Source organism: Homo sapiens, chromosome 18 (assembly GCF_000001405.40).
Source record: "Homo sapiens chromosome 18, GRCh38.p14 Primary Assembly".
NCBI lineage: Eukaryota > Metazoa > Chordata > Mammalia > Primates > Hominidae > Homo > Homo sapiens.
Genome location: NC_000018.10, coordinates 2972379 through 2986280, shown reverse-complemented (window position 1 = coordinate 2986280; position 13902 = coordinate 2972379). Strand labels below are relative to the sequence as shown.

The 13902-nt window shown below is 39.5% G+C and overlaps 1 protein-coding gene and 1 long non-coding RNA gene across 8 annotated transcripts in view, besides 2 other annotated features; one reads left to right on the top strand and one right to left on the bottom strand.

The window, feature by feature from the left end:
* The window catches only part of LPIN2 (lipin 2), a 96151-nt gene that overhangs the window by 26864 nt on the left and 55385 nt on the right, over positions 1 to 13902 (top strand). The window contains exon 1 of one of the 7 annotated variants that reach the window (XM_005258177.5): positions 3434 to 3613. The exons of 5 other annotated variants lie outside the window; for them this stretch is intronic. In XM_005258177.5, coding sequence (XP_005258234.1) covers positions 3512 to 3613 — 102 coding nt within the window. In that variant the 5' untranslated portion in view covers positions 3434 to 3511. Of the gene's footprint in view, positions 1 to 3433; positions 3614 to 9104; positions 9199 to 13902 lie in introns of those variants that run through there. One more of the 7 variants, XM_017026099.2, reaches the window with a different exon arrangement.
* Positions 871 to 7926, bottom strand: LOC124904236 (uncharacterized). The gene is made up of 2 exons (XR_007066268.1): positions 7311 to 7926; positions 871 to 1207 (listed from the first exon to the last, which is right to left on the bottom strand). It is a non-coding gene; the product is annotated as an uncharacterized LOC124904236 (long non-coding RNA).
* Positions 10917 to 11418: an enhancer, noted in NCBI's record as "H3K4me1 hESC enhancer chr18:2974861-2975362 (GRCh37/hg19 assembly coordinates)". NCBI's record gives its function as "activates a minimal SCP1, AML or CMV promoter by ChIP-STARR-seq in primed H9 embryonic stem cells {active_cell/tissue: H9 hESC(primed)}" and the evidence as "EXISTENCE:reporter gene assay evidence [ECO:0000049][PMID:30033119]".
* Positions 13530 to 13679: an enhancer, noted in NCBI's record as "active region_13032". NCBI's record gives its function as "activates an Ori minimal core promoter by ATAC-STARR-seq in GM12878 lymphoblastoid cells {active_cell/tissue: GM12878}" and the evidence as "EXISTENCE:reporter gene assay evidence [ECO:0000049][PMID:35858748]".

Sequence of the window (13902 nt, the reverse complement as noted above, 5' to 3'; positions counted from 1 at the left end):
CTTGAGTAAACTATATAACCATTACCCAATGAGCAGTTAAACTACAAATGTTTGAAAAACCCAAGAGTGGTAGCAAGAGGAATTTTATCTTGGTTTTGAATAAAACGTCAGTCCCTTTGGGGTTGTTTTCATAAACAGTGAATTATAAGTGATTCCATTTAGGAGAAGAAACACTTCATATGCTTTGGTGTAGATGGTGAGAGCCATTTGGCTCTAAATGAAAACATTTGTTTCAGGTGAGCCATGGTCCTTTACATGTTCCCTTTGTCATGAGGAGTCTTGAAAATGCAGAAATGCACTTAGGTTCTTCACTATAGAGGAATTCCGGTGGGTATTATGAAATTCTTTGTAATTGAGGTTATAAAATATTTTCATGATTTTTTAATAATCAAAACTTAGTTTTGTCACATCTTCATTGGTAATCCAGGAGCAAGGTGTTGTGTTTCCATAGTATGGCCACTGGGGGGGAGTACAATTATTTTCATGTTTTATGGTAAAATAACATGCTTGTGGTGTAAAGGTATTTCTGTTGAACCAGCTTAGTACAGCTTCAGATAAGCAAATTCTAGCTAGAAAGTTTTAAATAAATCGTTATACCCTCTTAAAAAGCCCTGTATACCTAGTCTTACATACTTATGGGATTAGTAGTAGAAAAAACAAAAACAAAGAAGGTATATATTTTACTTAGCATCATTAAAGCTGTGGAATCTGAACAGGATTCTGTTTTTCCTAACTAGCATTTTAGCTTTGTTTCCCTAAGTTAGACTATTTTTTTTTGAAAGAGTTAAGTCTTGGGAAAAAGACTTCCAAATTCTATGCACTTTTTAAAAAAAAGATCATTGAAGATGTTATACAAAAGTAAAAAGTAGCTTTTTTCAGTAGTCATTTATTTTTATTTTAGCCTGTAGAGAAAAAGTTTGACAATACAGTAGCGTTTTCCTTTGAAAATCATAGGGATGATTAAGAATTGTTGGTTGTGATTTTTAACATTTATCCATCAAGACTGAAAAGTGCCACCTTGCAGATGGTGGGGGTGGAAGCAGAACTTTGGCTACCAGCTTTGAAGGTCAGGGTGATCCACAGGTGGCCATAGGAGGAAACTTTAGGTGTGTGCCTGTTGGCAACACAGATGTTTAGAAAATGAGCTCACTTCTGATGGGTCCATAGTACATGTTCCTTGCAGTCAGGACATTCTGGGAGTCATCAGCTAAAACAAGGAAACAATACAAACACTATCAGGAAACCCCCAAATGACTGGCTTGGGTGCCCCACCTGTTGTGTAAGCTGCATTGTAGGCAAGAGTTGCTGAACAGAATTCTACCCGCTGACCTCTGCCCTGCTGGATCTCCACCACGCCTCACTTGCTAAGCCTTTGCTCCTACCTCTTGTCAGCCTCCTCCTGCTGATCCCCAGCATGTTCTTTCTTGGTCTCTGCTTGGCATAACACAAAAAAGCACTGAACCAGAAACTGGGGGGCTTCTTCTCCCTGGCACCTTTGCTGACCAGTTGAGTGACATTGGGCTAATTGCCTGACCTCTTTCTGGGCCTCAGTTTCCTCACATTTAAAGTGGATATGGTTTTTGTCTTTCTTCTTTCCACCCTCCTTACAGTTTTCCCCTTCTCCTGCTATCCAGTTGAATATTTTCTCATCTCTTCTACATTTTATTTCCTCTGCCCCTCTAACTTTTCTTTTTTTCACCTTCTTAGGTTTCTCTTTAATCTCTCTTTCTCCTACTAGCCTCCCCTTCTTGCTGACCTCTGGCTTCTTCCATTTTTCTCCACCGGCAGCACCCCAATATCCGGTTTTTATCACTACCATCTGATGCCAAGGATCCTGAACTGCAGTAGATCATGGATGAAGAGATTTAAATTTTTATTCATTGCATAAAATTTAGGCCAGAAAAACCTAAACAATTCTCTTCTGGAAGTAGGAGTTTGTGTACATGATGTGTGTTGAATTAGATCGCAAGTGACTGGGCACTTTGGTGTACTGCAGGTCCACGATACTATGCTGGGCTAGAAGGCAAGCAGGAAAACATGCTGCATGCAAGATAAGTTTTGCCATTTCTAATTTTGGTGAAATTGGTTTTTAATTCTGCCACTTAATGTTTTTATTATATGAACCTTGGTGATATGTTACTGTATTAAGCATCACCAGACACCTATTACTTGGTCAAACATTTGAAAATTTTGTCTTTTGTGAAGTTTAGATGCAGAGAAAAGGGTTTAATGTGAAGGTTAAATGGATGTGGATCAGCTAGTATATTGTTGATGAATTAACTAAATACTTTAAAGGAATGATGAACAATCCAGTTGTCCTCAGTTCTTCCTTACCTATAACTTGCCTGAATGGCCTTTTCCCCACCTTGTTCTCAAGATTGTCTCGGGGCCTTAGAGCAGCATTGTCCAATAGAAATATAATGTGAGCCACATGTGTAATTTCAAATTTTCTAGTAATCACATTTTAAAAAGTGGGAAAAAAAAAACTAGGTAAAAGTAAATGTAATTTCTTATTTAACTCAGTATATCCAAAATATCCTTTAAACATGTAGTATATATTAGAAATTATGAGTTTTTTTATTCTCTTTTCATTCTTAGTCATGGAAATCCAGTGTGTATTTTACACTTGGAGCACATTGCAGTTGGTACTGGCCTGATTGCCATTGCTCAGTAGCCACACGTGGCTAATGGCTGTTTGTGATGAACAGCACAATCCTAGACAATGGTATGAAAAAAACAGTGTATCTTAATTCAGAAATCTAATATGTTTGTCCATGTGAGTTGTGTGTTTGCGGTTTTTAGAAAAATTCAGTTAAAATTACTATGTTTTGACTTACTGAGAGCTGCCAAGGAAATACCAGGAATGTTTTAATTTTACAGTGTTGCATTATCATATTCTTGAAATTAATAAATTCTGCTTGTTATATACAGTACTGAGCAGGATATCTCCCAGAATTGTGAAAATACCTTGGGTCACACCAGTCTGACAAAGGAAAAGTGTTCAGTAGTTGGGCTCTTGGAGGCATGTAATCTGGCTGACTTTGGGAAGCTCCCTGCTGCTCGGAAAATGTCTGTAAATTACTTCCCTTACATGATTAGCTTATGTAAGATCACTCTCCATATGTGTAGTAGCTGTTTTTATTTCTAAAAAATGAGGATGTGATTGGTTTAGAGAATCATTAACTCAATCCCTGTCCTGTGTGATGGAAGCTGCAGTGGCCATCATGTGATTGGGCAGGTCTTGGTGCCTATCAGTGTAAACACATGGCACAACCTGTCCCATGCCCCTGCTTATCTCCTTTGGGGAGAAGGGGTTGAGGTATTTTGAGCAAATCTCATTGGTAAACTTGTGTATGCATTGCTTTTTTTTTTTTTAAGAACCATTTCCTTTCAGTTTTAGCCATATAACTGTGTCTGCAAGCAGTTTGTACTCAGTTTGTCAAGAGAGCAGCTTTCTGTTTTGATTATATACCTTCATCTCTGAAAAAAGACATGCTAGTTAAATTTCAAGATGTTTTACTTAGAAGATGACAAGGAAGATGAGGTGGTTTGTAAAGGCTCATTAAGTAAAACTCAAGATGTTTACCATGACAAGTCCCCTCCTGGTATCTTGGTGAGTTACATCTCCCAATGTCCCTGCTCCCTTCGCTGCTTGCTCAATCTGGACACTACTGAGAGACAAGGGGATGGCATCCACCAAAAGAAAAAGACTAATGCCCTTTCTTAGGAAAATGTAATGTTGTAGTGAATTTTATTAACTTCTAAGTGTTATGTTGAACAGAAATCTTTGGCTACCTGCCCTCCTGCATTTACTATGCCATCTTTCTGCTATCTCTATTCGTTGTTATTTAACAAAAGACTTTTTTTTCCTAGGAAAAAAATGAAGTTGCTGTTTTAAACTGAGAATTTTTAAAAATTATGTTTCAAAAATAATATATTTGGTTTCACATTCTCTTTGCATTTAAGTGTAGTAGTAAAAATCATATAAAAGTGTTACAGTTTTTGTTGGCCTAGTCATAATTTTTGGAATGGTAAACTAATATTTTGAAGCTGACGTTGTATTTGGATATATGAGAGTGGCTGCAGTTGCTTTCTTCTGTGATCATAAACAAGAATTTTTGTAAGCTTGAAGTATGTGGGGAAAATATAAATTGTATGAACTTCTTTAATCCAGAGTTTTCTCTCTTGTTACAAAATATAACTTAGAACAAGTTATGTAAGCTTAGTGTAAGTCCCAGAAATCTGCATTAAAGAAACAAAATCAAGTGACTTGAGGACAGTGTAACTCTACCTGTGGAAGCTTTCCTTTAAAAATAATAGGAAGGAAACACTATTTTCAAGGTTATTTTTTAAAATTAAGGATGGATATTTTTATGAAAACAAGCATAAAATCAGTGAGACAAAAATTAGTTTCTAAAATCTGTGGCTCATAACTTGATTTTAGTTTTAAGGTTATACAAATGTTTATTATCTTTAAAAATGTTATCACACTCTGCTTTTTGCTTTTGGATCTGTTAGTGAAAGTGTACTTACTCAGAGTTCTCAGGAACTAATGGAAAGACGTGGTTTGAATATGAATGGAAGAGTCAGGTGCTACCACGGGGGAGGCAGTTTGCTTTTGAAATCAACATTGTAATATTATAGAATGTATACACATATTGGCTCACTCACATTTGTTGTAAAGGTCAGAAGGGAGAATAGAGAACCTTGCTGACTTTTTACGAAATACTTTAAACATTCATATATTAAGTAGCACTAACACACATAAACTCTCCCTCACAGGAAGTTCTTAAGACTTGTGTCTGCTGGTGTTTTCCAGAAAGAGGTCAAGAGGTGTTTGCTTAGGCTGCATTTTATTAACGGTCCCATTTTATGTTGCCGTTAGAACATTGAAGTCTAATGAGTCACCTCCCTGTCCCATGAGAAGCATGAGTTTTCTTAATGCTAACGTTTGGGATAAGGATCTGATATCTGCTTAGTAGCCTGTAATGATTATATAGGAGTTTGACTTTATAACCTGGGTGTGTGTGGTTAGAGGGAGAACCCTGGTTTTCAGGGTCCAGGCCTTCTGTGACCTGAACACTCCTTACAAATCACATCCTTTCTGGGCACCCCTTTTGTAAGGTGACAGTTTCAGTTTTGAAAGAGTCTTTCCTCATGGTTTTGTGATTTGGGAATATAAATGTATCATATCATGATTTGGAAAACCATGAGAAGATTTCTGTGCTTTGTTAGAAATTGGGAAATTTCAAAGACCATGTTTTCATATTTTTTGAAACAAGTGAAGACAATACCTTTATTTGCTAAGGAAAAAGCTAAATTATTTTATATTCAAATAACCTGAAGTCCCAGAATAATCTACTGGCCATATTTTCACCCCATTTAGGGCAGAATATACTACAGGAGTTCTTAGCCAAACTTGTAATCCTCAGAAATGCTTATAGAATTGGAGCTTTTCTGCAGTTTAGAGCTGGGGGGGGACTCTAGAGGTCACCTGACCATTCTTGTTAGAGAGAACCCCCGGCACAGAGCCCAGACCTCTTCTCCAGCGGAAGCGAGACTTGATCTTGAGTCTTCACATCCTCACCAGCTTCAGGGGACTCCAGGAAGCCCTGAGGGCAGTGTCCCTCAATTCTCATCTCTGTGAGCTATTTATCAAAGGACATGGGCACCTCTGGTTGATGCCAAAAAGCTCAACCAGATTTAATAACACAAACAGTGGTCAGAGGTGGCAAGTCACCCTGTAGGTGGGGCACATGATACGAGGCAGCGTGCATCATGCTAAGTTAGGAAACCTTAGTCCACCCAGGATTTGGGGTGGGGCTGAGGTTGGTGGTGGGGAACCATAACACGTTGTCATTACTGATTGCTGCCCAGATTCCTAGAACAACTGGAGGTGAACAAGTCTAAAACTAACTGTGTTCCTCCAGTCTAGCATGGCCAGTGTTCAAAAAAGTAATTATTTAATTGAGTGGAATTTTATTTCCTCATAGAAATAATGTTGCTATGCCTGTCTCATAATTAGCCAGAGAACTCAACCAGAGTTCTGAGTCCTAGAACAAGGGGGAAGAAGGGCTAATGCAAGAATTTCCTCTTTCTTTCTGGATAAGGGCCAAGTTTCGCTAAAATTTTTGAGACAAACATTTTCTGAGTTCCATTTTCAAGCCATGTTTTAGCTCCCACTCTCCATAGCTAGTAACTTTGGGCTTGAAAATGATACCTTTCCTCCCTCCTAACTCCCCTAAGTTTTAGGAGTGTTTGTGCTCTTGCCACTGAGCTGTGAATGGGTGATGGTTCCTTAAGCGCAGCAGAAGTAGCTGCATTGGAGGAAGAGGATTCTAGTAAACCTACAGGTGTGCTTTGGTAGGCTCACTAGCCAAGTGACAGTGTGCACTGAAATGAAAACTCTGAGGCCTGCTAAGAGGATATATTGAGGGACCATACAAGATTACTGGTTAGGCAGTTTGGGGGAGTAAATTCTCTGAAAGTCTTTGTTTTCAAAGCATGCTCGCCACAGATGAACTCAGGAATTTGGGGGGGAGTAGTTTTGGGACTGTGGACATGAATATGTTTCGGCTATTTGAAAATTATTTATTATTCATTTTTATATTTGTGCCCCCATCTGTTTTCAGTAAGGAAGGATTTAGAAGTAGTTTACAATTAAAACATACATGCACACAGACTGCCTCCACACACACTGTATATTGCATAGCTAAGCCTATTAATGTAGAGGAAACAAAATTGTCTTCATTTAGCAAATATTTATTGTACTACAACTGAGTCCAGTAGATGCATGTAAATCAATTTTTTTTTGTTTGCCTCCACTAATATGTCGGAATTTTTTGCTGCTCTGGGTTTATGAATAACACAGCTGGGCAGATATCCAGCAAATGGCTGTATGAATGCTACCATGTTGAGTTTGCCTGGATACTTGGTCCTGATTACATACTCAGCATACTCAGTGCGTTAGAGTGCCTGGTGAGCCCTGTTTTGTAGATGTGATCCAGGTGTAGTCTTCGTGCATTGGGAAAACACACCTTAGTTACATCACTGTGCCTTTAGGTGTCCCAAAAAGTGAGGCTGCTGGCCTGGCCTAGAGGAGATGGACACAACTCTGAAAGGATCTAAATAAAAATCTCAGTTGGGCATGGTGGCTCACACCTGTAATCCTGCACTTTGGGAGGCCCAGGCAGGTAGATCACTTGAGGCCAGGAAGTGAGGCAGGAAAGGAACAGGAACTACTACACCACCCTTCTTCAGCTCTGTTCACTGTCAAGAAAACAAGAGGGTTTGGGAGTCATTCCACCTACCTGTGGTCCTGAGGCACAGCTTGAGATGTGCTACATTCTGGGATCATTTGGAGGCTTTCAAAAGTACTTGCAGTAGAATCTGCAGATGGGGTGGCCTGATCATGAGGATTCCCCAAGCACCTCAGTGACTGCAACGTGCACCGGGGGTGAGAAGTGAGCCCCAAGGACGATGATGCCCACATCTGACTCATCACTGAGTGAATCCCTGTGGAGCTTTCAAAAGAAAATACAGATTTCCCAGACAGACTGAAGCAGAATTGAAGGCAGTAGTGGAGGCCAAGAATAACTGTTTTGTTTTGTTTTGAAAATGAAACTACAGACTTTATTCAGATTCTTCTTACTAATGTCCTTTTTCTGTTCCAGAGCCCAACCTTACCTTGAATTGTCCTGTCTCCTTAGTCTCTTCCAATCGTGACAGTTCTTTAGTCTTTGCTTCTCATGACCTTGATGTTTTGATGAGCACTGGTCAGATATTTTGTTGAATTTGTCTCTACTTCGGTTTGTCTGATGTTGTCTCATAATTAGATTGAGGTTGTGTGTTTTTGGTCAAAATACCTCAAAAGTCCTTTTCAGTGAGTCATACCAGGAGTCCCTGAGGTCAGTGTGTCTTAAGTTTTCCCGATCACTTGATTATGGTGGTGTCTTCCAGGTTTCTCTACTATAGAGTTAAAATTTTTTCCTTTTGTAATGAATGTGTATCTTGGGGAAAATACTTTGAGAATATCCAGACATCTTGTTTATCTTGTTTCTCCTTCAACTTTTTTTTTTATTTTTTATTTTTTAAAAGACAGAGTCTTGCTCTGTCGCCCAGGCTGGAGTGCAGTGGCGCAGTCTTGGCTCACTTCAGCCTCCGCCTCCTGACTTCAAGCAGTTCTCCTGCCTCAGCCTCCTGAGTAGCTGGGACTACAGGTGCCACCACTCCCGGCTTCTTTTTGTGTTTTTAGTAGAGATGGTTTCATCATGTTGATCAGGCTGGTCTTGAACTCTTGACCTCAGGTGATCCACCTTCCTTGGCCTCCCAAAGTGCTGGGATTACAGGTGTAAACCACCGAGCCCGGCCTCTCCTCAAACTTTGTCTTCTGTTTTTAACATCCATTGATGGATCTTGCCTTCCATAAATAATACTGTGATATATTCCAATAGTGAGTTTCTAGTTTCTTCATTTTTTCTTCATTAATTATAATTCATCTGTAAGAGCTGTCATTTCTCACTTATATATTAATTTATTCTATCAGTGAGGACTCAAGAATATTTTATTCAGCTAATTGTAATCTAGTAATCCTGTTTTGTTGCTCAGATTGTCCTGTGTTTAGCTCTTGGGAGTATACTCCTGTTTTTTCTCTGACATACGTTTGCTCTTTTGATTTTGAGCATTTCCCAGTCTCTGACTCCACGAGATGCTCCAGCATTATCTTGTATTTTCCTGCCCACAGCCATGGAATGAATCAACCACTTTTCCAAGGAACCCTGGTTCCTTTTATTGGAGAATGATATTCAGAAAGCAAGATCTGAGCCATAGATATGCACATTGTTTTGAGAGTATCCTTGATTCTAGGTCCTCTTAACAGAGAGTTAGGATATTTGAGTGTGTTTTCTAGCTCAGGTATAAACACATCAGTGCTTGTGCATCTAGTTACCTGTGTATGTACTTTAAAACCATGGGTTCATACCGAGACCTCCAATTCCAGTCCAGCACCACAGGGTTCATTTTAGCTTCCTCTCTAGGAAGTTTTATTTTTAGAAGCTTTCCCAGGTGTTTATGATTTTTTTTTTTTTTTTGACAAGGTCTCACTGCCACCCAGTCTGGAGTGCAGTGTAGGAGGCAACCTCTGCCTCCCAGGCTCAAGCAGTCCTTTCGCCTCAGCCTTCTAAGGAGCTAGGACCTCAGGTACGTGCCACCACACCTGGCTAATTTTTGTATTTTTTTGTGGAGACTGTGTTTCTCCATGTTGCCCAGGCTGGTCTTGAACTCCTGGGCTCAAGTGATCTGCCCACCTTGGCCTCCCAAAGTGCTGGGAATACAGACATGAGCCACCACACCCAGCCCCAGCTGTTTGTGATTAATTAGTCTTGGGGAACGATGACTTTTGGATGTATATCTGTGGATCCAAAGGCTCTTACGGCTTAGTTAAGTACTCTTTGTTAATGAACAGTCTGTTCCATGGTGAAGTATCATTTTCCATAACTGGGTTAATCATCATTTCTTCTTATACTAAAAAGAATTTTTATGTCACTCCTAGCTAGCTCTCATTAGTAAAGTAAGTCCCCTGTTTTGCGTGGGAAGTGGTACAGTTTCATGGCCAGTATGCTTATAAACATTTGTCAGAGAAATTGAGCACACCTCAGGAAATGTTTAGTGGGTTGAATGCCCAGGGAAGCTGTTAAACATTTTAAAAAACATGTAAACAATCCACGCAGACAAATGACAGGCTTACGATTCCACTAAAACCAAATTTATTTTAGTCCTTGAGTTATCTTCTTTTTGATAAGGCAGCCTACATTCTTTTTTCCACGTGTAGCTTGCTTTCTAAAGCAGGTGCTCTATCAGACTTCTTGATAAGAAACCCTTCAACCCCAGTTACTGAGAGTACTGACTGTGAACTTTGGGCCTGCATGTGCTTGTTAATTTAGTAGCTGCCACCTTAGCTACAGGAGTTGCAATGGTAGTCCATCTGGCTGGTTCTTACCCTCATTTACTAGGATACAATATGGTACAGGTTGAGAGACCTTCACCCCAGGGCATTAACACAATTAGGACACGTAATTACTTGACATTTTAAACTTCCCTAATTGTGTTAATGTTAACTGTGATATTAACTAAAGTTCTTTAATGGGTGAGAGAGGATGAGATGGGAAATAAGGGGGATGAGCAAAGTTTAACATGTCCTTCCCTAGACATAGAACCTATAGTAATATATTACTTTGTTTCCAGTCTGGGGCTGTAATTTGGATAGTGGAAGAATCGTACAAATTCCTGACTTCTAGGTCAGTGTGTAAATAGAAAAAACTTCCGATAGAGTTGGAGTGTTTCAAAGTTGGAGTGTTTGAATTTTGGATAAAATTCAAAAAAATTGTATCCCACCAATGTCAGTGATAGTCAACCCTGAAAATACTGCACATGGCTTCTATAGCAACCTGCTGAAATTGTGTGCCTTTTGTATGTGGAATTAAGCCAAATAATCAGATTTCCTGGCTTATTTTAGAGTTGCTTATGGTTATCAATAGTCGCCACCAAAATAGGTTTACTACACAATTCTTTTAGAAGGTTTAGGATAAGGACATACCCCTTAAAACACACTTTTATGTTCATAACGTAATCGTATCTGTAAGACTACTCATAATAAAAGGCTTGGCTAGGCGTGGAATCCCAGCACTTTGGGAGGCAGAGGTGGGTGGATCACCTGAGGTGAGGAGTTCGAGACCAGCTTGACCAACATGGAGAAACCCCGTCGCTACTAAAAATACAAAATTAGCTGGGCATGGTGGCACGCGCCTGTAGTCCCGGCTACTCGAGAGGCTGAGGCAGGAGAATCACTTGAACCCGGGAGGCAGAAGTTGCAGTGAGCTGAGATTGCACCATTGCACTCCAGCCTGGGCAGCAAGAGTAAAACTCCATCTCAAAAAAAAGGCTTAAGATTTTTCATGTATGGTAGCATATGGAAGAATCATCATAGCCTTCTAAAAGCCTTTATGAAATTCCTACCCACACATAGCCTGAAAATTCCATAAATTTTTAGGAGCTGTTTTAGGTTTCAGTGAAACAAGAATGGGTATTTAAGATGGACATACCAGGGCTTTTGTCTGGTCATGTCTCTGGGTAACTGCTAGACTATAGATAAGTTGCTTCTCTGGGCCTCAGTTTTCTTATTAGTACAATGAATATAACATTTACCTCACCTAGTTGTGAGGATTAAATCAGATGAGGTACGTAAAATGGCATTTGGGGTTTAAACAATTTTTGTTTGTTTGTTTGAGTCAGGATCTTGCTCTGTTGCCTAGGCTGGAGTGCAGTGGCACAAACATGGCTCACACTACAGCCTTCACTACCCTGGCTCAGGCATTCCCTCCCACCTCAGCCTCCGGAGTAGCTGGGACTACAGGCATGCGCCACCACACCCAACTACTTTTTAAAAAAATTCTCTGTAGAGATGGAGTCTCCTTACATTGCCCAGGCTGCTCTCCACCTTCTGGGCTCAACTAATTCTTCTGCCTTGGCCTCCCAGAGTGCTGGGATTACAAGTGTGAGCCAACGCACGCAGCCTAAAATGGCAATTGGAAGGGGTAAGTTAGTGCCCTCTCCACTTTTTCCCCCATCATCTCCCTGTAACTAACATTAGGAAGAATAATGAGTAAAACATCTGAATTACAGCTTATGTAATTTGTTGAGGATATACAATGTTTAAAAAGTTAAGACCATGAGAAAATGAATTTGAATTTTCACCAGTATAGAGGTGAATTTACATTTTAAGCAAATCCCACATGTGAAAATCCAAACTTAAAAAACAGTTACGTTATTTTACAAAGGAAGGATTTCTCTAATAACAGGCTCCCCCAAGGACACTGAAGATTCCTTAAAAACAATACCAGTAGAAGCCCAGGCGCGGTGGCTCACGCCTGTTAATCCCAGCACTTTGGGAGTCTGAGGCGGGCGGATCGCGAGGTCAGGAGATCGAGACCATCCTGGCTAACACGGTGAAACCCCATCTCTACTAAAAAATACAAAAAAATTAGCTGGGCGTGGTGGCAGGCGCCCGTAATCCCAGCTACTGAGGAGGCTGAGGAAGGAGAATGGTGTGAACCTGGGAGGCAGATTGCACCACTGCACTCCAGCCTGGGCCACAGAGCAAGACTGCATCTCAAAAAAACAAAACAAAACAACAACAACAACTAAACAATACCAGTAAAATCAACTTTGTAAAAAGATATCTTAGCAATCCCGTTTTAAAATATCCAAATAAAATGAAATTATGTTCACACAAATGCCTGTACACAAATGTTTATAGTACAGAATGAGCATCCCTAATCCAAAAATCTGAAATCCAAAATGCTCTAAAATCCAAAACTCTCTGATGCCACAAGTGGAAAATTCCACACTTGCCCTGGTGATAGGTCCCAGCCAAGATGCAGTTAAAGCTTTGTTTCGTGTGCAAAATTAATTGAAAATATTTTCTATAATTACCTTCAGCCTATGTGTTTAAGGTGTATATGAAACATAAATGAATTTTATGTTTGGACTTGGGTCATTATGTATATGCAAATATTCCAAAATCTGAAAATATCCAAAATTCAAAACATTTCTGGTCCTGAGCATTTTGGATAAGGGGGATACTCAACCTGTAGTTTTATTTGTAATTGCCGAAACCTGGAAACAACCCAGATATCTTCTAGCTAGTGAATGGATAAACATTTGATACATCCATGCAGTGGGGTACTACTTAACAGGGAACAGACTACTGATACATGCAGCAGTATTGATTAATGTCACGTGGACTGTGCTAAGCTAAAGAAGCCAGAATCCAAAGGTACATACTGTATGGTTCTATTTATATGATATTCCAGAGATGGCAAGACTAGGGACAGAAAGCAGATCAGTGATTGGCATGGGTGGGGAAGAGGGATTGACTCCAGATGGGTTTGGGCATTTTGGAGAGCAGTCTGATTGATCTGTATCTTGATTATAGTGGTGGCTACAGCAATGTGTGGTCACAGCTAACAACTGTACACTACAAAAGGGTTAATTTTCCTGCCTGTAAAGTGTATGCTTTTTTTTTTGTTTTAAGAAAAATCTATTTTGAATAGTTCAAGGTACAGCTATTTGTAATCTTAAAACTTCATAGCTAAATTGGCATGAACATTTAGCTGGAATTTTTTCTGTGCTGATAGGTATAACCATTACACAAAGGTTAACTTAAGTAATAGTTTAATATCTTTCATTATTAATTATAAACAGAATGTTGAACTGATTACAGTTCTTAATGATTTTACTTATTGCATTTCTCTCTATTTGCCAGTCAGGTTAAATGTTCCCTGTAACAGCATCTGTCACCTCATGTACAGAGGTCAAAACTGGGCATATTTTAGCCTTGATGGGAACAGACAAGAATTAAATTATCAGAAAGTTTCATGACAAGGTTTTATTTTCATTTTGGGAAATGAAGGGAGAAGCATTAAAGAGAAATGTGGGAACAGGAACCATTTAGTTTTACAGAGCTATGATAGTTTGAAACAAGTTTGGCCATGTGAATGTTGTCGGGGCTGAGGAAGGGAGTTGGGGCCCCCTTTTGAGGGTGCTGCTTACCGTTTTAGGATCTCCTTAAGCCACACATGTTATTTTGAAATTTAACGATAAAATTGAACACTAGTTTTTCTTGCTCTGTACCAGGTTCTATTTCTGAAGAAAATTAATGTTCTGGTACATTATTGAGCACAGGAAAATTAAACTATTGTTTCCAGCCATTTTCCTTAAAGGCTGTGCTCTGTAGCATAATTATATTGGGCATTTTCGTAAAAGTCAGCTGACTAGTAGAAGATGGATAACTTTGTGGTTGTGTTTCACTTTGTTTTCTGTAATAATGCAGTTACGGCACCCTTG